We start from the raw sequence: 25668 nt of genomic DNA on the forward strand, positions 1-25668 counted from the left end.
ACAAGTTTATTATCTTATGGAGCTCACAGTGAAAGAAAGTTGTTAATAATTAGTGTAAGAAATTTTATCAGAGATGGAAGAGCCTTACCAAAGCTCAAAAGATGGAATGGCTATCTTTACCCAGGAAGTTGAAGAAGGCAGTTCTTAAGAGGTGACATTTACATATGATTTTTCCAACATCGTAAACTCTGTGATCCAGAGCTGAGAATCATGAAATAAGAACAACAAAAAAGTTGATACAGGCAAGATGGATTCTCTAGAGTTTATGAACATATCTTTGCATTTAATGCATAGATGTATGACTGGGCGCAGTGACTCGTGCCTGTAATCCTGGCACTGTGGGAGGCTGAGGTAGGTGGATCATTTGAGGTCAGGAGTTTGAGACCAGCCTGGCCAACCTGGTGAAACTCCGTCTCTACTAAAAAATACAAAAAAATTAGCTGGGGCTGGGTGTGGTGGCATGCACCTGTAATCTCAGCTGCTTGGGAGGCTGAGGAACGAGAATCACTTGAACCCAGGAGGCGGAGGTTGCAGTGAGCCAAGATCACGCCATTCCACTCCAGCCTGGGTGACAGAGTGAGACCTTGTCTCAAACACACACACATACACACACACACACACACACACACACACACACACACACACGTGACCTTTGGCAGTGATTTTTTTTTTTTTTTTTGAGATGGAGTCTTACTCTTGTTGCCCAGGCTGGAGTGCAGTGGCTCTCACCGCAATCTCTGCCTCCCAGGTTCAAGCAATTCCCCTGCCTCAGCCTCCTGAGTAGCTGGGATTACAGGCATGCACCACCACGCCCAGCTAATTTTGTGTTTTTAGTAGAGACGGGGTTTCTCCATGTTGGTGAGGCTGGTCTTGAACTCCCGACCTCAGTTGATCCACCCGCCTGGGCCTCCCAAAGTGCTGGGATTACAGGAGTGAGCCACCGCACCCGGCCCCTTTGGCAGTGATTTAGTACAAGTCCCTAGTGATTGCCATTTCTTTCTCACCACCTCCCACAATGTTGATTTTCCATTTTTTCAGCCCGCTGTCAGTAAGAAGTAGCAAGAAGTAAATTGGCAGAAAAGCTATTATAAGCAAAAGGAAGATTCACTTAGCTAGTGATTCAAAGCATCACTATATGTCAGACTCATCTGAGGAGCTTAAAAAGAAATTAAGATGCCCAGACCCCATCTCAAAGTAAGTGGCTTTACTTTAATTTGAGTGAAGGAAGATTTCTTCTCTGAGGTGAGCTGAGCTTTGAATGACAAGAAGGAGGCAGCCCCAGGAAGATCTGGGGGCACAAAATACAGGCAGAGGGAGCAACCAAGGCAAGAAATTAGCCTTGTTAAGAATTTTAAGTGTAATGGGAAGCCATTAGAGGGTTTTAAACAAGGAAAGATGTGATGTGACTTATATTCTAATAGGATTGCCTTGATTCACCTATGGAGAATGGATTTCTGGGATCTCAGTACTGGGATACTGAGATCCCAGGGGGAAAATATCACTAAGGTTGGAATTGCTTTTCTGCACATTAAAAGCAATTCTCTTTTTCCTTGAAACCTCCATGTGATGTTAATTAGGTAAATGGGATTTCAAGGAAAAAAAAAATACAAAACAACAAAAAGAAAAACTGTTATCCTTCATTCTCTTAATAAGATGAGGTATTCAGAAATGAATGGAGCCAATATTAATATTCCACTCCAAAAAATAGTAGAAATGAGTTTACATGGACTTCTCACAATCTCCATTCCACATTTCCATCTCTGTTTCTCATTTATGACAGGTCCCTTCCTTTAAAAACTTTTTTTATTATAATATGTTCCAAAACTTGTTTGTCAAACCTAGGGATAACTAATAAAAATCAGTATTGTAGGGGGAAAAAAGTGAAAGCAGGAGGCCACTTACTGGGCTCTCACAGTGGTCCAGGTGAGATAACGGCATGGAAATAGAGGTAATTTTAAGGAAGTGAAGTGAGCAGGTAGAGTGTAGGTTTTGAATATGGGTGAGTTGCTTTGAGTTGACTTGGAAGGGATGTAGAGAATGAGAGAAAGTGAGGAATTGGGGGTAACACCTTGTTTTTTCTTGTAAGACTATGTTAGCATAATTTGGTAATTCTAGTCATTGTTAAAACAGTCTTATTGCAGTGTTGACTGTCTAACATACAACTTGAGTTTTCTGGTAGCTATAATTACCCCTTCCACTTGGGGAAAAATATGAAAGAAATCATTTAACATTTGGCAGTTAAGAAGATGTTGTTTGTGCTGAAGTAATTTTATTTTTAAAACTCTCAACTTACAGAGAGATGCACTTGAGATTACTGAACATAAATTTTTTATAGACTTTAAAAGAAAATCATTGTTTCTTATGATGTGCCCTTTCTTATGTATACTATACCCAATAAAATGATTTAAAGAGGAGGAGAGAAAAAGATGAGTGTCTTTGCAGATTCATTGACCCTGTGAGAATAGGGCTTTGGCACTGCTGAAGTCCTCAGCCTCTGACTAGTAGCTTGCCAGCACGCAGCCCCTGGTGTTGGACTTCGTTCAGCTGTTCAGGCTGTCTGTTTCTATTCTTGCAGACAGATGGGGTGCTTGAGAGGAAGCCAGGAAGCCAAGCCTTAAGAGGACTTGGAAGCAATTTTTGGATATAAATCCCTTGTCCTAAACTCAGGGCAACAGTGTATCCTGCCCAGCAGTGTTGAACTGCCTGTGTTTGTCTAGTATGTGTGTACTGGCTGGTTGGCTCTGGGCTTCATTCCATGTATGCCACTGCTCTATTGCCAAGATAAATGTAGAAGGCCTCTGGCCCAAGCCCTTCTTTAGTACTTAAAAAAAAAAAATTGTGGTAAAATACACATAACAAAATTTTACCATTTTAACCTTTTTTTTTTTTTTTTTTTTTTTTTTTTTTTTTTTTTGAGACAGAGTCTTGCTCTGTCACCCAGGCTGGAATGCAGTGGTGCAATCTTGGCTCACTGCAACCTCTACCTCCTGGGTTCAGGCGATTCTTCTGTCTCAGCCTCCCGAGTAGCTGGGACTACAGGTGTGCACCACCACGCCAGGCTAATTTTTGTATTTTTAGTAGAGATGGGGTGTCACCATATTGGCTTGGCCAGTATGGTCTTGAACTCCTGACCTCATGATCCACCCCCCTCAGCCTCCCAAAGTGCTGGGATTACAGGTGTGAGCCACTGCGCCCGGCCATTTCAGCAGTTTTTAAGTGTACAGTCCAGTGGTATTAAGTACAGCCCAGTGGTATTAAGTACAGATGGTTTTCTTTTTTAAGAGATGGCAGTCTTGCCACCCAGGCTGGAGTACAGTGGCATGATCATAGCTTACTGTAGCCTCAAGTCCTGGGCTCAAGCAGTCCTCCTGCCTCCACCTCCCAAAGCACTCGGATTACAGATGAGCCACTGCATCCAACCCATTCATGATGTTGTATAACCATCACCACTATTTGCAGATCTTTCTTTTTTAAATCCCAAACAGAAATTCAGTACACATTAAACAATAATTCCCAATTTCCATCTCTTCAGCCCCTGGTAACCTCTTTTCTACTTTTTTCTCTGTGTATTTGCCTATTCTAGGTACCTCATATAAATAGAACCACACAATATTTGTCCTTTTGTGTCTGGTTTATTTTACACATAGTGTCTTCAACTTTTATCGTTGTTGTAGTACATATCAGGATTTCATTCCTTTTAAAGGCTGAATAATATTCCATTGTGTACATATACCACATTTTGTTTATCCATTTATCTGTTGATGGATATTTGAGTTGTTTCCACCTTTTGGCTCTTGTGACTAATCTGCTGTGAACATGGGTATACAAATATCTATTTTAGTCTCTGTTTTTAATTCTTTTGGGTATATACTAGGAGTGGACTTGTTGGATCATACGGTAATTCTATGTTTTAACTTTTTAAGGAACTGACAAACTATTTTCTACAGCAGTTGCTCAATTTTACGGTTTTTTGCAGTACATGAAGTTTCCAGTTTCTGTACATCCTCACTAACACTTGTTAGTTTCTGGGTTTTTTTTTTTTTTCTTTTTTTTTTTTGATAGTTGTCATCCGAATGTATATAAAGTGGTATCTCATTTAGTTTTGAGTTGAAGTCCTTAATGATTAGAGATGTTGAACATCTTTTTATGTGCTTATTGGGTTTGCCCTTTTTGTTTGTTTTTTTGAGACAAGAGTCTTGCTCCATCTCCCAGGCCGGAGTGCAGTGGTGCAATCTTGGCTCACTGAAACCTCCGCCTCCCAAGTTCAAGTCATTCTCTTGCTCAGCATCCTGAGTAGCTGGGATTACAGGCACACACCACCACACCTGGCTAATTTTTGTATTTTTAGTAGAGACAGGGTTTCACCACTTTTGGCCAGGCTGGTCTTGAACGCCTGACCTCAGGCAATCTACCTGCCTTGGCCTCCCAAAGTGCTGGGATTACATGCGTGAGCCACGATGCCCGGCCAGGTTTGCCCATTTTCAAAAATCTTTTTTATTTTTCTTTCTTTTCTTTTTGTCTCTCTTTTTTCTTTTCTTTTCTTTTTTTTTTTTTTTTTTTCGAGACAGGGTCTTGCTCTATCGCCCAAGCTGGAGTGCAGTGGCACAATCTCGGCTCACTGCAACCTCTGCCTCCCAAGCTCCAGTGTTCCTCCCACCTCAGCCACCTGAGTAGCTGGGACTACAGGTGCAAGCTACCATGCCTGGTTAATTTTTTATATTTTTTGTAGAGACGGGGTTTTGCCATGTTGCCCAGGCTGGTCTTGAACTCCTGGGCTGAAGCAAGCCACTGCCTCGGCCTTGCAAAGTGCTGGGATTATAAGCATGAGCCACTGAACCCAGCCTCTTTTTTTTTTTTTTTCCTACACCAAACACCTGAACTCATTTTATGCACTTTTATTGTTTTTTTTGTTGTTGAGTTGTAGGAGTTTTTTTAAATGTATTCAGGATATCAATCACATATTAGATATATGGATTTGCAAATATTTTCTCCCGGTCTGGGTTTTCACTCCCCTCCAGATCATATCCTTTGATGCATAAAAGTTTTAAATTTTGATGTGGTCCAGTTTATTTTTACTTTTGTTGCCTGTGCTTTTGGTATCCTATCCAAGAAGTCATTGCCAAATCCAATGTCATGAAACTTTTCCTCTCTGTTTTCTACTAAGGGTTCTATAGTTTTCACTCTTAGGCTTAGGTCTTTGATCCACTCGAGTTAATTTTTTCATATGATATGAGGCCATTCTTAACATTTTGTATGGATTTTTAAAAAATGATTTATGCTACTAGGGAAACAGAAAAAAGGACTTCTGAACTTGAAGCTGATAAGTTGTAAATTTATCATGTTTCTGAATTTTCTAGATAACTCTGTATAATTAATTAAACAGAGCTCTTATCACCCAAGACATTAATGAGTGGTAGTCTCTAGGAACCAGCTCAGATTAACTGCCAAATAAGCTAAACTTCCTTTTTATTGCCAGAGTTATTAACCTAAGTGGATTATAAGTCAATAACAGAGGAAATATATCTGAATTTTAATGAGCCATTTTATAGTCTTGTGGATACAGTACAAAAGCCTGAACTGAATTATGATAAACCTAGTGAATGTAACAGTGTTGATCACAAAATTAGTTTGATCTTTGATCCTGTGATACTGGCCTCCGTCCACACACACACTTCTTAGTCTAAAGAAAACAGCCTAGTCTTCTTAGAATATCATTTAAAGGCTGGGTGCAATGGCTCATGCCTCTTATGCTAACACTTTGAGAGGCCAAGGCAGGCAGATCACTTGAGCCCAGGAGTTCAAGACCAGCCTGGGCAACATGGTGAAACCCTATCTCTACAAAAAATTAAAAAAAATTAGCAGGGCATGGTGGTGCACACCTGTAGTCCCAGCTGCTTGGTAGACTGAAGTGGGAGGATTGCCTGGGCCCAGGAGTTTGAGGCTGCAGTGAGCTGTGATCATGCCACTGCACTCCAGCCTGGGTGACAAGAGTGAGACCCTGTCTCCAAAAAAAGAAAAAAAAAAGAAAAATGAAGGTATCTTTTGGCTGTGTGGCTCTGTTCATGTAATTCTTTAAAAACGCTGACTTCAGGCTGGGCATGGTGGCTCACGCCTATAATACCAGCACTTTGGGAGGCCAAGGCAGAACGATTGTTTGAGTTGAGAACAGGAGGTCAAGATCAGCCTGGGCAACACAGGAAGACCCCATCTCTACAAAAAATTTTTAAAATTACCTGAGCATGGTGGCATGCACCTGTAGTCTCAGCTACTTGGGAGGCTGAGATAGGAGGATCACTGGAGCCTGGGAGGGGAGATTGAGGCTGCAGTGAGCCATGATTGTACCTCTGCACTCCAGCCTGGGCGTCAGAGCATGACCTATCTCAAAAAAAAAAAAAAGTCTGACTTTATGTGGAGGTAAGATCATGGGTAGCAGGCCCATACGCATCTTTTCAGGTACTTCCGTCTTCCCAACACATGTATATTGATGAAAGGTGGATTCTTATTTTCCCTGCTTAGGTCACATGGCACATGGCTACCCAGGGGGAAGTCACTGTTCATTGGAATTAGGGTAATTTAGGGAAGGTATAAATTGACAGCTGATACCACAGGGAATAAGTGAGGAGCAGTTCACCAAAGGAATTAGGCATGCTGGACAAACAAAACCAATATGATACAAAGGTACTTTTGTCAAAATAAAAAACTAAAAGTAGTACTTTGTTACTAACTAAACTCCAGATTTTATTTCTATTTCAGCAGTTTTTCCATTAATATTCCCTTTCTGTTCCAGGATTAAATCCAAGCTACCACTAAATTGCTAACAAGCTAAATTGCACTTACTTATCATGTCTCCCAATCATGTCAGATCACTGTTTCAGTTTTTAATGAGCATTATGGTTATTTTCCGGCTTTATTGGGATATAGTTGGCAAATTCAAATGGCATATATTTAAGGCGTAAAAAAACTCGATGTTTTGATATATATGTACATTATGAAATGACCTTGACAGTCTTGAAGAATACTAGCCAAGTATCCTATAGTGTGTCCTCTAATCTGTGCTTGTCTGTTGTTTTTCTCATGGTTAGATTGGTTTATAGGTGTCTTAGTGTGTTTTGTGCTGCCATAACAGAATACCTGAGCCTGGATAATTTATTGAGAACAGAAATTTAATTTCTCATAGTTCTGTAGGCTGGGAGTCCAAGATTGAGGTGCTAGTAGGTTTTGTGTTTGGTGAAGGCCTGGTCTCTGCTGCCAAGAGGGTGCCTTGAATACTGCATCCTCCAGAGAGCAGGAGCACTGTGTCCTCACATGGTAGAAGAATAGAAGAGAGCAAACCCACTCCTACAACCAACCAACCAACTTCCCTCCCTCCCTCCCTCCCTCCTTCCTTCCTTTCTTTCTCTCTCTCTTTCTCTCTCTCTTTCTTTCTCTCTCTCTCTTCCCTCCCTCCCTCCCTCCCTCCCTCCCTCCCTTCCTTCCTTCCTTCCTTCCTTCTCTTTCCTCCTTTCTCTTTTCTTTCATTTTCTTTTTGATGGAGTTTCACTCTTGTTGCCCAGGCTGGAGTGCAATGGCGCGATCTCAGCTCACTACAACCTCTGCCTCCTGGGTTCAAGCAATTCTTCTGCCTCAGTCTCCCAAGTACCTGGGATTACAGGCACCCACCGCCACACCCAGCTAATTTTTTGTATTTTTAGTAGAGATGGGGTTTCACCATGTTGGCCAGGCTGGTCCCAAACTCCTGACCTCAAGAGATTCACCTGCCTTGGCCTCCCAAAGTGCTGGGATTATAGGTGTGAGCCACTGCACCCGGCCCTAAAAGCTCTTTTCATAATGGCATTAATCCATTCATGAGAGTGGAGCCCTCATGATATAAACATCTCCCAAAAGGCCCTACCTCCCAACACTGCTGCACTGGGGTTTAAGTTTCTAACACATGAATTTTGGGGGACGCATTCAGACCATAGTAGTGGATTTTGGGAAAGAGCACAACAGAGGTGAAGTAGCTTTCTTGTCACACCATGTTAGGCGATAGATGCAATCCACATGTCATCACTGTTGATGTTAACCTTTACCACTTGGTTAAGGTAGTGTTTATCAGATGTATCCACTGAAAAGTTACTATTTTTCTCTCTCCCAACTCAGTTCTTCAGAATTTGCTTTTTTATTATTGTAGAAACAAGTCACTCCAGCCCGCACTCAAGAGGAGGGAAGATTGGCTCTACATTTTGAAGGAGGTGTCAGAGAATTTGTGAACATATTCTAAATCTCTACAATACACTCTTCAGCCACAGATTATTTACATTCATCCCACGTGCAGAATACACTCACCCCCTCCTATTATTCTGCAGAATTCTCATTTATAGCATCAGCTTACAGTCCAGGATATTGTCATCTAAATTAGGTCCAGTTTTGGATGAGGCTCCTCAGATGTATGTAGTTTCTTCAGCTCCTTGAGTACATTACTTCTCTATGTGAAGACCTGTGAAACTAAAGAGGCAAATTGTTTGCCCCACACATAACCAAGATGCAATGATTGGTCAGGTGTATGATAACTAGTGTAGACATTCTTGTTCAAACAGAGGGAAAATGTTGGTACAAAGGTGTCGTTACGTCACACCATTTTTGAAATTCAGCTGGGCACAGGTTGGTAATTCCTTGATTAAAATACAGGTCTGGAAATAATTCATTATGGCTCTTAGCTCGTCCTTCTGGGCTTTTGTTTCCACACTCTGAGTTTTCTTTTCTGTGAAAAGTAGGAAAGTAGGCTTTTTTTTGCAGCTGTGTAGATTCCTCTATCCACTTCCAACCTGTAGATGTTTGGGAGTCCAAGGCCCTCTTTTCATTTTGTACTATTTCTGTCTCTTTCAGTCGAAATGGGCAGTGTTTCTGCCAATATAACTTTCTTCAAAACCTTATGGGTCTCCTGTTAATATTTGGGCTCACTTCCTTAAACAAAAGTCACACCTAAAAATCTCTTTGAGATAAGCCATTCTCGTTCTTGAAATTCCGCTGAGAGGCAATAGCTTTTAGCTTCTTAGAAACTCTCCTCTTTGATGGTTGGGCGTGGTGGCTCACGCTTGTAATCCCAGCACTTTGGGAGGCTGAGGTGGGCAGATCACCTGAGGTCAGGAGTTCGAGACCAGCCTGACCAACATGGAGAAACCCCATCTCTACTAAAAATACAAAAAAAATTAGCCAGGCGTCATGGCGCATGCCTGTAATCCCAGCTACTCAGGAGGCTGAGGCGGGAGAATTGCTTGAACCTGGGAGGCAGAGGTTGCGGTGAGCCGAGATTGCGCCATTGCACTCCAGCCTGTGCAACAAGAGCAAAAGTCCGTCTCAAAAAAAAAAAAAAACTCTACTCTTTGATTAAAATAATCTGTAAGTCACACCTTTAAAATCTTTAGGAGGCCTTTTGTCTAATTGAATAGTACTCAGAGGCATGATCTGGGATCTCACCAAGGTTGAATTTTATAGCTGTGTCCTCAACCACATCTTTTAGATCGTTTTCTTGACAGTACTTGGGATTTGAATTTTGCTGGGAAGCCATTTTTTGTTTTAGTATTTTTTGCGTGTGAGAGACTGGGAATCTTCAAAACCAGCAAGTTCTGGCTCCTTTTTGTTCAACTGCTCTTGAGATATTTATTAGGAGTTTGGAAATTTGAGTCTTTGTTACAGTGGTGTAGACTTGGCAAAATGAGAGGTCTGGGAGTCTTCAGCATTTGTTCAGTGGAATTGAAGAGATTGAGGAGCAGAAGGAAAGCTAAGGGTGGAGCTTTGAGAAATGTGTATCTTTAATAAGCAAATGAAAAAAGACTGAGAGAGACAAAGTTGGAGGGGGTCAAAGACAGATTGGAGAAATGGAAAGTACAGGATCAGAGAAGTATTGACAGTGGCCTGGCCTCCTCACTTTCTTAACATGGTTGGTTTGGTGGAAAGTTTTCCAGTTTCTCTTCATAATAAACTCTTTGAGTCAAGCAGATTAATACCTTTTATATCTTAATGTTTATATCATTAGCTTTTGTATTAAGCTGAAGAATGGAAACACCACTCCAGAGGCAAAGTTGGAGGGCAAGTCTATATAACTTTGCCCTGTATAACCATAAAGAATACCATGGAAAAGAATATTACATGCTTAAAGTCATACATGCTTTCAAAAATTGGCTTGTCTTTTTGTTGTTGAAGTTTCACAGTGTTTTAATCACTGTGTTTTTAACATCAGGGTTAAACTCTCTAACAGATACTTGATTTGTGTTTTCTTCTGTAGAATGTCTTTTCACTTTCTCGATAATGCTCTTTGATGTACAAAGGTTTTTAATTTTTATAAACTCCTATTTTTTTTTGTTTGTGCTTTGGCATCAAATCTAAGAATCCATTGCCAAATCTGATTCATGAAGATTTACCCCTATGTAGATCTTATATTTAGATTGTTGATCTACTTGGAATCAGTTTTTATATAGGGAGTAAGGTAGGGGTTGAATGAATTTTCTTGTTTCATTTTATTTTAGAGTGTGGGAATCCCAACTGGTGAATATATGTCTGTTCTTATACATTGAGGGCAGATAGTATACAATCGTATACAATACAGGTTTTAGGAGATTTTCTATAATGTAGTTTTTAACTCCTCTGTCAGACTCTTAAGAAAATTGCTTGACCCTAGTTCCTGGAATTTGGTTTTGCTCCTTTTTTTTTTTCTTTTGAATTTTGATTATAAAGAAGGATAGTTCTAGAAACTATAAGTTAGATATTTTAGCATGAGTCTTCTAATATTATTTACCGGCGCTTCTTTTTTTTTTTTTTTTTTTTTTACATGAAGCCGAGGCCAGTGTATGTTGAGGCACTTGGTAAACAAACAAATCATAAGGGTAAAGTATTTTTAACAATGTTTGGATGTTGTCTTTGGAATGTGTTTTAATTCTAGTTTCACCATTTTTTTTTTTTTGGCCAAATCAATAGCTGCATATCACTTTTTTTTTAAAACAATTAATTGGAAATACTTCTGAATAAAATGATTTTTGTAAATTCATACTTTGCACCCCCTCTACTTTAGTAGAAATGATAGATAAATGTAGAAATTGAAAAGACTTAGCCACATTAAGGAAAGATCAACATGTCTGTGAACCTGAAATGGAATCAAAAGAGTGAGGTGATGAGTGAGGCTTAAAGCCAGGGATCGTTTAGAGTCCAATGTAAGTGCTAGTCGCTGAGTTTCATTCCTAAGTAGTAAGGGAAGTAAATGTACTTCATGGACACCATTTATATAAAGCTTTTCAGAATATCCAGTTCACTTTAAAAATCTCACACCTGTAATCCCAGCACTTTGGGAGGCCGAGGTGGGCAGATCACCTGAGGTCAGGAGTTCGAGACCAGCCTGACCAACATGGTGAAACCTCGACTCTACTAAAAATATAAAATTAGCTGGGCATGGTGGCACATGCCTGTAATCCCAGCTATTTAGGAGGCTGAGACAGGAGAATCGCTTGAACCTGGAAGGTGGAGGTTGCAATGAGCTGAGATCGTGCCATTGTACTCCAGCCTGGGCAACAAGAGCAAAACTCTGTCTCAAAAAAAAAAAAAAGCATGAGAATGCAAACACAAAATTTAGAATAGTAGGTACCCCTGAGGAGTGGAAAATGGAAAATGGAATAAGGGAAGACATAGTAGCCTTTAACACTGTATGTAAACATTTGTTAAACTTAAATCCAAAACAAAGAGAAAAACTGAATGTGTGTATTGTGAGGAAGAAGAGGTACCCACAGGAATTTAGCCTAAAGAAACAACCCAAGATTCTACAAATATTTATATATGCAAATATTTACTGTGGATTTTTTTTTTTTTAATACAGAATTTCTCTCTTGTCACCCAGGCTGGAGTGCAGTGGAGCAATCTTGGTTCACTGCAAGCTTCACCTCCTGGGTTCAAGCGATTCTCCTGCCTCAGCATCCTGAGTAGCTGGGAGTACAGGTGCACGCCACCACGCTTGGCTAATTTTTTGTATTTTTAGTAGAGACGGGGTTTCACCATGTTGGCCAGGCTGGTATCAAACTCTTGACCTTGGGTGTTCCGCCCGCCTTGGCCTCCCAAAGTGCTGGGATTACAGGCATGAGCCACGGCGCTTGGCCTATTGTGGAATTTATGTGGTAGAAAATTAGAAACAACTGAATGTCCAATAATAGGGAATGAATGGGAGGAAAGGGAAGAACAGGAGAATACAATGGTTATATCTACTCTATGGAATACTCTACAGTCATTTAAAAAAAATCAGTGTTGTTACAGACCAATATTGGAAAATGTTTATGAAATAATGTTCAGTGGAAGTAAAAGCAAGATACAGAATTGCATACATAGTATAATCTAAATTTTAAAAAAATGTTAATTGTGGTAAACTACATATAATACCATTAAAAACATTTTGGTATATTCACAATGTTGTTCAACCATCATAATCCAAATTTAATAAATAAATATTTTGCATAGGAAAAAGTACCAAAAGAAAATACATGAAAAGTGTTCACGGTGATGAAAGGTGTTCACGGTGATGATTTTTTTGTTTTTTGTTTTTGTTTTTTGTGGAGACAGGGTCTCCCTCTGTAACTCATGCTGGAGTGCAGTGGTGCTATCTCAGCTCACTGTAACCTCTGCCTCCCGGGTTCAAGCAATTCTCCCACCTCAGCCTACTGAGTAGCTGGGACTACAGGCGCGCACCACCATGCTGGCTAATTGTGTGTGTGTGTTAATTGCAAGCCTAGTAAATTCCATTATAATATATGTGATTATACTCTGTAGAGTAGTATACTATATATACATCCTTTGCTATTGATAGTTACATTCCAACAAAGTTAAACTGGAATTTTGTATTGAATCTTTCAGGAGGAACTTTGAAGTTGTTTATGAATATCTCCAAATATCTTTTTTGGGGCTTATATAAATTAAAAGTTACACAAGACCTTTTCGACCTAGTTAGTCTCTTAAGAGTGTTCTTTGTTTATAGGCTTCTGTAAATATGTAATGTAATGTTACCTTATGTAATTAATGTAAGCTACCTTATTTTGAAAATTCAGAATATTTGCCTTATAAGATTTTTTTTCTATACAAATTTATCTGATGCCATCGGACCTGTAATTTCTTTTTCTCTCCACTCAGGTTTAAAAATTCAAAATAATTGGTACATATAGGTAGTTTACAAGAAGCAGTCATTAATGCTATTATAAGTTCTGTTCTTTATTTCTTAGTGAACTAGAATTTTCCTGTTTCCTGTGCAATCTTGATGCTTAAAAGAAAAGGCCAGGCGAGGTGGCTCACGCCTGTAATACTAGCACTTTAGGAGGCTGAGGCGGGCAGATCACCTGAGGTCAGGAGTTCAAGACCAGCCTGGCCAAGAACCCTGTCTCTGCCAAAAATGCAAAAATTAGCCAGGCATGGTGGTGCACACCTGTAATGCCAGCTACTTGGGTGGCTGAGGCAAGAGAATCGCTTCAACCCGGGAGGTGGAGGTTGCAATGAGCCAAGATTGCACCACTGCACTCCAGCCTGGGGGACAGAGCGAGACTCTGCCTCAAAAAACAAACAAACAAATAAAAAAAAACCAGGCTGGGTACGGTGGTTCACACCCCAGTGCTTTGGGAGGTTGAGGCAGGAGGATCATGTTAGGCCAGGAGTTCAAGACCAGCCTGGGCAACATAGCAACACCCCATCTCTACAAAAAAATTCTTAAAAGGTTAGCTGAACATGGTGGTGCACACCTGTAGTCCCAGCTACTTGGAAGGCTGAAGTGAGGGCATTGCTTAAGCCCAGGAGTTAGAGGCTGCAGTGAGCTCTGATTGTGCCACTGCATTCCAGCCTGGGGAACAGAGCAAGGCCCTGTCTCTTTAAAAAAAACAAACAAAATCAAACAAACTCAACCCCAAAGGCAGAAAGTAGAGAACGGATGCTAAGTCAATAATAAAAAAATACTAATGTCATTTGCTTTCTGACAGGTAAGTAAAAGATGACTGGGGATACACTGTTTTTTTGTGTGTCTGTGTTTTAAATTATTTTGTTTTTGGAGTCAGAGTGTCGCTCTGTCACCCAGGCTGGAATACAGTGGCATGATCTTGGCTCACTGCAACCTCCACCTCCAGGGTTCAAGCCATTCTTCCACCTCAGCCTTCTGAGTAGCTGGGATTACAGACATGTGCTACCATGCCCGGCTAATTTTTTTTTTATAGTTTTGATAGAGGTGGGGTTTCGCCATGTTGGCCAGCCTGGTCTCAAACTCCTGGCCTCAAGTGATCTGCCTGCCTTGGCCTCCCAAAGTGGTGGGATTACGGGTGTGAGCTACTGTGCCTGGCCAGGATACACTGTTCTTCTACCTACTTTGCACTTAGGGAAACGGGCATGGAGAGGTGAATTATCATACAACTAGTAGAAGGTAGAGCCAGAATTCAGACACAGGCCTCTCTGATTCCAGTCAGACTTTATATAAAACTCAGCAACCCATCCAGCTACCTGTTGCTGTATGTATTAGGCCGTTCTTTCTTTGCTATAAAGAAATACCTGAGACTGGGTACTTTATAAAGAAAAGCAGTTTAATTGGCCTACAGTTCTGCAGGCTGTACAGGAAGCATGGTGCTAGCATTTGCTTGGCTTCTAGGGAGGCTTCAGGGAGTTTTTACTCATGGTGGAAGGCAGAGGAAGAGCAGGCACTTCACATGGCGATAGCAAGAACTAAAGAAAAGGGTGGGTGGTGCCACACACTTTTAAATGACCAGATCTCTTGAGAATTCACTCACTATGGTGAGGACTGCACCAAGCCATAAAGGATCTGCCCCCTCGACCCAAACACCTCCCACCATGCCCCACCTCCAACATTGGAGATTACATGTTAACATGAGATTTGGGTGGGGACAAATACCCAAACTATATCACTGTGTGATTAGTAATCTCTCTCACTTTTAGCTGTTCCTCTCTTGGAACTATATCTTACCCCTTGATACCAAAGCCACTGTATTCTTTAGGGAGATGACATTGTCACAAAAGGTATAGGACAAAGATGGTGGATTCTGGATCCTGACATTGCTAGACTTAAATCCCACTTCTGATAGTAATCAGCCATGTCTCCCCACCATTATGATCCTCAGATTTCTCATTCCTAAGGCAGTGTAGTAACATATACTGTTAAAGATTGTTCTGAAAATTAAAGATAATATATATTATGTGTATAAACATATGTATATGTGTATTCAGTCTTTCCAAAGCTTATCTAATATCATTGTAACTTATGATTCCTTTTAATTTTAATCATGATTCTTTTTTGGGTTTCTAATTTCATATTTTCTCTTTTGCTACTTATTTTGATACCACCTGGTTTTGTATATACTTGAATCCTTTTTGTATTTATTTAGTGATAACCATTGTCTTAGTACTATTGAGATATCATGTGAAATTTTTATTCACTTTTGTCAAAAAATCACTAGCCTAAAAGTGTAAATCCCAATCATTGATGTGGGATAGTGTAGCAGTTTCTTTCTTAATATTGCTTATTATATCTTGCCTAAGTTCTGAATTATGTGGACTGTATAGGTGTAGCATTCTATATTATGAGCTTGTGTTTCTCTTCTGGCTAATACAAAAATCAAGAGCTGTAAGAGTTTATAAAATCATGGTTCTAATATTTACCATCTCTGTGGTAATTTGATCTAATGAGTTGACTCTGTTATTACTAATGTTTATTACAGCATAGGTAATTATTCTACCAAGAAAAATTGCTTTTAGTAACATGCCCTACATAGGGCTGTTTTCATTCATAATTTTTTTGTCACACTTTCAAGTAGGTAAAAGTTACTGGCAACACTGGAACACCTCTTTTAGAACTGTATTGAATATGGGCATTACTCTGCATATTTTGGAGACATTTAAATCTTCAGTATAATTTTGTGACAGAAAAGGACAGCAATGCCTGCAAGTCCCTATGCCTTAATTTATGTTATGTTATGTTATGTTATGTTATGTTATGTTGTGTTATGTTATGTTATGTTATGTTATTTTTTTGAGACAAGGTCTCGCTCTGTCACCCAGGCTGGAGTACAGTGGTACTATCTCGGCTCACTGCAGCCTCCACCTGCCTGGCTCAAGCGATCCTCCCACCTCAGTCTCATGAGTAGCTGGGACTAAGCACACTTGGCTAATTTTTGTTATTTTTTTGAAGAGACAATTTCTTGCTATGTTGCTCAAACTCTTAGGCTCAAGTGATCTGCCCACCTTGACCTCCCAAAGTGCTGGAATTACAGCCATAAGCCACCGTGCCTGGCCTTCTATGCCTTATTTTAAAAATGGGTAATAATAGCAACTAAATTTAGTTCCTGATTTTTATAGTCCATGTTAGCCTGTTCAGTGCATTAAAGAAAACAGTGGAGTAGAAAGTCCTCTTCACATTAGAATTGAAACTCAGTGACTACTGTATTTAGGAAGAATAGAGTAGCAACTAACTGCCACCATGGAGATTTCTGCTACCCAGCTGACTTCAGTAATTGTGGCTTTTTTTAAGAATCTTTGCAGAGGACAGGTTGTCAGCATGATTACTCTGTCTTTAAGCTTCTGCATAGGTTTGCAGTAAGGTCTTCTTTTTTCAATATAAAAGGAAAGTGTGTTGTTTTCTGAGAGAAGATAGATGATAGCTTTCTCTGAACTATCACTGGGTAGGGGTAAGTCTTGATACACTTTAATATTTTGTAATAATTTAGCAAAACATTATTTTTTAAAAAAATAGTTTTTAATGCTTTATCCAAACTGTAACTATGTCTTTTGTAATTCAAAAGCAGTACTATTTTCCTTCTAACTGAAGATTTTGACAAAAACTTGAGTCTGGGAGGTCATGAGCCATGACTGTGTCACTGCACTCCAGCCTAGGCGACAGAGTGAGAGCCTTTCTCCAAAAAAAAGGAAAATAAAAAGGATTAAAATAATGATGCCAATAAAACTATTGGATAGGTTTTTTTTCCCCAAAAGGGTGTTATATTCTACTACATTGGATGGATTATAAAATTTAATATTACAGTTGTCTTTAGTGACTCTTCTTTGAATACATTTCATTAATGAGATATAGTCAAATTATTTTATTATAGTCACTTAAAATATTTCCTGATTTTGTTCTAAATGTATGAACACTTGCTTGATGAATACTTCATTTCAGTTATTTAAGTTCATTTTTATTGTGAGAGTACTGATGTCCTAAAAACTGCCAGTTTTTGTCCCTAGGCTGCTTTTATCTAAATGGTCTTTCTTACTAGTAGCATTCTGGTTGCCAGAAAATAAAGGAAATTGGCTTCACCATCAATTTATGAGATAGGTAGGAAGATATGGTTGACTCTCCAAAGGGATGCTAGAATTCTATTTAGCTACCATATGATTATTTTGTAATGATTCTTAATGGTTATAGATAGAAGATTCATATATATGAGATACTGCTAGATATCCACTGTACCTAAGAATAGAAATGCTAATAATGTTATGAGATGTACATACTGTTTTTTAAATTCATATTGTTTTTTTAAATTAGATATCCAAATCTAATTGTTATACTCTTTGGGCACAGTTACCAATTGGTATCAAATTACAAGCCCAAGAATACAACAGGATATGTGTATGCATAAAGTTCACAAATTTAGATAAATCTAATTTCACTTTATTAGATTCCAATTTTGTCTTGATATATGGAGTCTTTTTTTACCCCCTTTAAAATTTTTTATTATGGAAACTTAAAACAGAAAAAATATATATAATGTATCCATTATATGGGCATAAATAAAATAATATAATGTACCTATATTCCTATTACCCAGCTTCAATGGTTATTAACCCATATCCCTTCTTGTTTTCATCTATATTTCTTTGCCCATTGGATTATTTTGAAGCAAATTCCAAAAATTATTTATTTAATCATTTAAAGAGAAACTTTGTTTCTTTACATATATAACCATGATATAGTAATCATTATCACATTTGAAAAGAAAATTAGAGTTTCCTGTGTTCTGGATTTTGCTGATTGCATCCCCATGAAGTTCTGTAGCATGTTTCTCTGACACCTGTATTTCCTGTTAGACCTAGAAAAGGTTCTCTCAACTTCTCACTGTTGGAATTTTGTACTGGATAATTTTTTTGTTGTAGAAGACTGTCCTGTGCCTTGCAGAATGTGTGGGAGCCAAGCCCTTCGGCCCCAGTGGTTTGCTGAAAAATTACCGACAAGAAGCAGATTGATTAATAGGAAAAAAGGCATACACATTTGTTTAACGTGTATACACGAGAGCCTTCAGAACAAAGATCCAAAGATATAGGGAAATTGTTCATTTTCATGCTTAGGTCCAGCAAAGTATGGACAGCCATGTAGAAACATGATTGGACAAAAAGAGTATGATCTAATGCTAATAGACTTAATGGGGAAACCCAGCAAAGCCTGTCTGTTGAGATTCTTCTTGCCCTCTCAGAGCATGCATTTCGTCCTTCTGGGTGTGGGCAGGGCTCTCTCTGGGATGGGGGTCTTATGGCCCACAGTGAAACAAGGTAGGTCATTTCATTTCTTTATGGCCAGTTTTTACACAGGGTATTGTTAGGCTTTCTGGTTGGTTTTTGAGGAAAGGGGTTCTGATTTCTATGACCCACCTTGGGGAAGGGGGATTCTAGTTTCTGTGGCTGACCTCGGGGGAGAATGGGACTAAGAGACAGGAGAGCAGAAGTCAGAAAAAAACTTAGCTTCTGCGGCTGCTTCTGAAGCCTACAGTTTGGGGATTGTTTTCTGAGCTCCAGTAGATGTTTAGCAGCATCGCAGGTCTCTAGCCACTAGTCAACAGCACCCCCTCCACCAATTGTGACAACCAAAAGTGTTCCAGACATTGCCAAGTGTCTCCTGGGGGCAAAAATTGCCCCTATTGGGAACTCTGCTAATCTAGAGGCTGATGAGATTCAGGTTCATTTTCTTGGAAAGAATTCTTCATATGTTGTTGTGGTATTTTCTACCTTTTCTAAACATCACTTTTTATCTCTTTTGTCATATACGGTCTCTTAATAGACTATATACTTAAAATATTTGCTGAAGCTTTAGAAGCCTCAGTTTTAACATTTATTTGAGTATTTATATGATAATATCCAAAATGTATTAGTTATTTTACCATTTATTTTGAATTTTAGAAAAAAACAATATATTTTACAATTTGGTAAAAATACAGTACTCTAGGTGACTGTGTAACCTCTTAAATTTTTTTCATTTACACCCCCCAGGTTTGGATTTAGGTTTACAGTTTATAGATACAGGTGCTTCTTGTTTTAGTATTAGTTTGATAAAGTACCAATTATTTTTAAAAGGGATGATACTTAGTATCATTAAATAGAATTCCAAATGACTAATAAGAGAGAGAATGCAGGCAAAGTAAACCTTTGAGATTTTGTGAAACATCCTCTGAATTCTCTATATTCTGGCCATACTGATCATTGCCTCACTACTCTTTTATCTGTGTTGGCAATTGACCTTATTCTCTAGCCCCTTAACCAACTATTCCTTAAGTCCTCACATTAGTTAGACACAACCAGCCCCAATACTAGTGAGCTAGGCCTCTGTATAACAGAAGACAAAATATAATTAAATCCTAAATAAATGATACTATGTTTATTGAGTACTTTTTCTTTTTAAATTAGGTTTACTTAGGAATTCAAATGCATTCAGTAGTTACTGTTTTGTGTTTGATCTTTTAAGCACCCAACTCTGTTGCTACAGAGCATAGATACTTTTTCTATCCCATTAATTGGCTTGATTGAAGCTGTTAAGAAGCATAATACTCATTGGTAGGATACTGACTAAAAATACTGCTTGTTTCTAACTGTGCTTCACCAGTGAAAGTTGTTGGTAATTAAAATGGATTAACTCATATCTGGTTTTTTGTTTCACATTAAACTGAGGAGCCAGGGTATCTGTCATCTTACATTGGGCTCGTCTTTTCTCTGGGGGCCTGTTGTTTATGTTAAAGTAAATTTTGTTTGATTACTTGTTTTCATGATGCTAGATTTGCATGAATTTCATTTTGAAGACCTTTGTGGTTATCAGTGGCTTTTAAAATAAAAATAGCTCCACATTCTCAGGAGGAGTTGGAATTTGATCTCTAACGAATTATACAGGGAAAGGCTTGTGTGGTGGGATTCCAGTGATCTTTACTCAGATTATCTCTGTCTGACATCTCAGAAACTGGGTTATTTTAGCTCCCTTTAAATTTGCTTTTGAGAACATCCACTATCACATTAACAATACTTAGTTGATTGTTGCTTCTGTGAAATGCTCTTTTCTGCTACATTGGTCTACCTTGTCTTTATATGCCTTTAACACTTTAGTATGTATAACACAATCTAACACTTCATACAATTTATTATTTCCCTAGTTAAATTTTTGAAAAGTTTTGAGTATAAAATTGTGTGTTATATATCTTGTACTGAACATGTAGAAAAGACTCAGAATATGCTTGTGATTGATTGTCAGGTTATTAAGAACTATCCAGCATGTATGAATTTTGTAAATATGCTCACAGGAAGAGTTACTTCAAATCTGACTGTGCCAGAAACCACTGACTCATGACCAGGTGTGGTGGCTCACACCTGTAACCCCAGCACTCTGGGAAGCTGAGGCAGGAGCATCACGTGAGCCCAGGTGGCCGAGATCTCCCTGGGCAATGAAGCAAGACCTTGTTTCTACAAAAAATGTAAAAATTAGCCAAGCGTGGTGGCATGCGCCTGTAATCCTAGCTACAGAGGAGGCTCGGGTGGGAGGATCACTTGAGCCCCAGAGTTCCTGGCTGCAGTGAGCTATGATCATGCCACCGCACTCCAGCATGGATGACAGAGCGAGACCCTGTCTCTAAAACAAAATAAAATTAAGGAAAAAACCTACAAACCATTGACTCATGGAAATAAAAAATCATATCTGCTGTTCAAAGCTTCAGGCATGTTCTTTGAAATTAATAATTGTTTACTTTGGTGGAACCTCATACATCCCTATAGATTTCCCCCTTGCTGCTCTTTTTCTGTTGGTTTAGCTTCTTTCTCTCCTTCTCTCCTCTCTCTCTTTCTCTCTTTCACTCCTTCCTTCCTTCATTCATTCATTATTTTTTTGAGACACAGTCTCACTCTGTTGTCTAGGCTGGAGTGCAATGGCGTGATCTTGGCTCACTGCATCCTCCACCCTCCAGGTTCAAGCGATTCTCCTGCCTCAGCCTCCTGAGTAGCTGGGATTATAGGCATGTGCCACCATGCCCAGCTAATTTTTGTATTTTTGTAGAGATGAGGTTTCTCCATGTTGGTGAGGCTGGTCTTGAACTCCTGACCTCAGGTGATCTGCCCACCTTGGCCTCCCAAAGTGCTGGGATTACAGGCGTGAGCCATGTTGCCTGGCCAGTTTAGCTTCTTTAAAACAGACATAAATAAATGTACCTTAACTTACATCTTAGGTTTAGATTTTTGAACGATTTATGACTTAGCTGTATTTGGTTACTATTTTGTACTAGCTTAAAAAAAAAGAAATTAATTTTACCAGACCTGATTTACTTCTTTTTTCTTTGGAAACAGGAATATCTGGTATAAAGGGTAATATCCTACTAGAGATGAATGAGGAAACCATAGTTTTAAGATGACTTCTGCTGATACAGGATATGCTTTCATTATGCTTTTACTTACCTTTCTCCTCAGTTAATGAACAAAGGCAAGTCTGAAATATTTTTTGGAATGAAAATGTTGAATTAGGATAGCCTTGGGAGAGAACAGAAAAATATCTTTTTTAAAAGTTACTTTTTGGACACAGTGGTTCACGCCTGTAATCCTAGCACTTCAGGAGGCTGAGGCAGGTAGACTGCTTGAGCCCAGGAGTACAAGACCAGGCTGGGCAACACAGCAAGACCCCCATCTGTAAAATTAAAAAAAAAATGTTAAGCTACTTCTTAAAAAGAAGTACCTTAGATATAAATACTTCAAATATTTGTTTGATTTGCCCTGCTCTCAAGCTACTACATTTAGTTGTTAAATTTGAACTCCAGGTTTCAGCTAGTGGTTATATTAGATAGCACATTAGAGAGGGTGAAACTCATCAAATGGTGTGACTGCCCACCTTGTCCTCTACATTTATGATGAAAACTGAAGTTAAAAATATATCAAAAGAGGCTGGACACAGTGGCTTGTGCCTGTGATTTCAGCCCTTTGGGAGACCGAGGCAGGAGGACTGCTTGAGGCCAGGAGTTCAATACCAGCCTGGCCAACATAGGGAGACCCCATTTCTACAAAAATGTAAAAAAAATAGCCAGGCTGGTGGTGTGCACCTGTAGTGCCAACTACTTGGGAGGCTGAGGTGGTAGGATCGCTGGAGCCTAGGAAGTCAAGGCTGCAGTGAGCCAGCCTCAGCAACAGAGCAAGACCCTGTCTCAAAAAAAAAAAAAAAAAAAAAAAGAAATGTATTAAAAGAGGTTACGGATTTGAAATTCAGCCTGTTGGGGTGGAAATGTTAGGTAGGAGACTGTTTTAGTTTGGTTCTTTGTTTCCATTAATAGTCACACTTGGCCGGGCATGGTGGCTCACACCTGTAATCCAGCACTTTGGGAGGCCGAGGTGGGTGGATCACCTGAGGTCAGACGTTCGAGATCAGCCTGGCCAAGTTGGAAATCCCGTCTCTATTAAAAATACAAAAATTAGCCAGGCGTGGTGGCAGGCACCTGTAATCCCAGCTACTCGGGAAGCTGAGGCATTGCTTGAACCCGGGAGGCAGAGGTTGCAGTGAGCCAAGATCGTGCCACTGCCCTCCAGCCTGGGCGATAGAGTGAGACTCAGTCTCAAAAAAGAAAAGAAAAGAAAAATACAGTGAAGACTGGTGTACCTACCACTAATTTCATTACTTGCTAAAATTTTGTCATTTTTGCTTCAACTATTCATGAACATCTAAATGTTTTCAGATGTTTAAGGCTCAACTCATCATTTTGTAATTGGGCCATATCTACCTTGACCAGGAAGTTGTTATAGTATAAAATACACAGTATAGTTGCCAGTCACTATGTGTATGGATGACTGGTAAGGTTTTCTCAATGTACAAAATACCTGACTTGCCTTTGCCCTTTGATTTCTAAGGAGAAACAGTTTTAAAAAAAAAAGTCTCATCCTATGTTTCTGAATACTAGACTGTGAGAGCTTCAGTTTAGACAGACATTAAAGAGAACCAAGCAATAAGTGAAGCTGTTAGCAGCATGAGGCTCAAATTACTTGCTTCATCATCATCTTTGCTCTCATGACAGCCAAAAACTGTTATCCAATGACTATTCTGTGTAAGATAATCATTTCACATGTTTAATTCTTATGTTTCCTTCTGTGAAGCATGTAGGAAGTTTGGGATATGATTTCAGTATTTGATTTAGATAAAAATTTGTGCAGGTCTAAGCTTGAAGATCCACACTACTACAGCACAGACCTCTGCAGCACAGGGCCTTGGATAGAGTGGAGTAGGCATTCATGATAAGTTTAACTGAATAGTATTATTTTGTATACTGATACTTAAAGAAAAGAAATGGCACCTCTCATTTAATGGTTTCTCTAGAAGTTTTCACAATATACTTATTTTCCCTTTATTCCAATACATATTTATTAGGCTAGAATTCAAAGCTCAACTGAAAACTGCTCAGGCAATTGAAATAAGTTTTTATTGATAGTGACCTCTGATTGGTGAGGATTCCCAGTTCTATGTTTGTGTGTTGAGAGAGAGCCAGAGTATGTGTATAAGCTGTAGCAATCAAGGTAGAATGGTTTTTTGGCCAGACGTGGTGGCTCATGCCTATAATCCCAGCACTTTGGGAGACCTAGGCAAGTGGATCACTTGAGCCCAGGAGTTCAAGACCAGCCTGGCCAACATGGTGTAACACTCTCTACAAAAAATACAAAAATTAGCTGGGCATGGTGGTGCATGCCTGCAGCCCCAACTACTTGGGAGGCTTGGGTGGGAGGATCTCTTGAGCCCAGGAGGTTGTGGCTGCAGTGAGATGTGATCATGCCAACTGCACTCCAGCCTGTGCAACAGAGTGAGACTCTGTCTCAATTAAAAAAAAAAAAAAAAAAAAAAGCAGGGCTGGCATGGTGGCTCATGCCTGTAATTCCAGCACTTTGGGGGGCTGAGGTGGGCAGACCACCTGAGCCTCAGGGGTTCAAGACCAGCCTGGGCAACATGCTAAAACCCTGTCTCTAAAAAAAAATACAAAAAATTAGCCGTGTGTTGTGGCATGTGCCTGTAGTCCCAGCTACCCAGGAGGCTGAGGTGGGAGGATGTCTGGATCCTGGGAGGCGGAGGCTGCATTGAGTCAAGATTACTCCATTGTACTCCAGCCTGGGTGATAGAGTGAGACCCTGTCTCTCACACACACACACACACACACACACACACACACACAAAGTTAGGATGGTTTCTTAGAAAAAAGGTGTAGGGATTTTTTTCTTCTTGAGACAACAATGCTAAATTAATATGGAATCTTTTCAAGTTTAGTAAACAAAGATAAACCTTCTATTTGCTATGATTGGTTGGTAAAATGAGTATCTTTCACACTGACAAGTTACATAATAATACTTTAAATAGTGTTTTATGGACATTGTTTTATCATATCCTTACAATGATACTGTGAAATAAGTAGGGCAGCTGTTAAAATCCTTTTTAACAAATGAAAAGGCTTGAGAAAAAAATTACTTGCTTTTTAGCTCACATGAGTAATTTGTAACATAGGCAAGGAGAAAACAAACTTACATTCCAGTTTGCTGTTCTTTTTGAAGACCACATAGTCTTCGTAGTCTTTAAATTATTGTGTATTACAACTGCAGGATATGGTATTAGGTATAACAGCTAATGTATTGGATGGTATGTCTTTGGAAGTTAGAAAGAAGTGCAGCTGATAGTGGCTCCTCTGGAGCTGATGTAAGGGGCTTTGTTTTGTTTTGTTTGTTGTTGTTGTTTCCTGACCTTATATGATTTAAACTTTGACATCAGTTCTAATGTTCGTGATGCTTTGTAGACATAGCCTGTCATTGGTGGTTGTATACATAGACCATCCATCACTTCCACCTTGGTTTTATTCTGAATTTAAGATTTATTTTCAAAGATAAACTAAAATTTACTTTCTGTTTGGCCCCTAGGATTAGTAAACTTAACCTGCTTTTTGATTACTGCTCATACTCTTGTGGTAGGACTTTTTAAAATAATACTTTCTTCTTGTTGTTTTACGAGCCATTTGTAGATGAGTGATATATAGTGGTTTATTGGGGTGATTGGGGACAATGAGTTTTTGTTGTACCTTGCATTCAAGTATATTTACTTATGCCTATAAATCAGGTATTATCACCTCTCCTTTTTCAGATGTCAGTCCATCAACAGTGTATGCTCTTTACCATTTGCATTTCAAGAACCACTTGGAAACTTGGAAATAATCCTTTATTTTTGCTAGTCATGCCTCTGTCGTAATGTTCCAAGAGGCCTGGGCTGCTTTGGAGAGGCTTGTCTGGCTTTGCCTGCCCCCTGCCTCATTTAACTACAATAGAATAGCTCATAAGATGCTCTCTGCATAAGATTTTATTTGAAGGAAGGTATCTATATTTAACTTGGGAAACAAATAGCTTAGGTAGAATTATAAACGAGATGGTAATATT

At 39.3% G+C, this 25668-nt stretch overlaps 1 protein-coding gene across 7 annotated transcripts in view; it reads left to right on the forward strand.

Moving 5' to 3' along the window:
• The window catches only part of COMMD1 (copper metabolism domain containing 1), a 247668-nt gene that overhangs the window by 123275 nt on the left and 98725 nt on the right, over positions 1-25668 (forward strand). Inside the window, exon 3 of one of the 7 annotated variants that reach the window (XM_011532558.3) lies at positions 1039-6241. The exons of the other annotated variants lie outside the window; for them this stretch is intronic. Within the exon in view, the coding sequence (XP_011530860.1) occupies positions 1039-1059 (21 nt within the window). The 3' untranslated portion in view covers positions 1060-6241. Of the gene's footprint in view, positions 1-1038; positions 6242-25668 lie in introns of those variants that run through there. 7 annotated transcript variants of the gene reach the window in all.

The sequence above is a fragment of the Homo sapiens genome, chromosome 2 (assembly GCF_000001405.40).
Source record: "Homo sapiens chromosome 2, GRCh38.p14 Primary Assembly".
In the NCBI taxonomy this organism is placed as follows: Eukaryota; Metazoa; Chordata; class Mammalia; order Primates; family Hominidae; genus Homo; species Homo sapiens.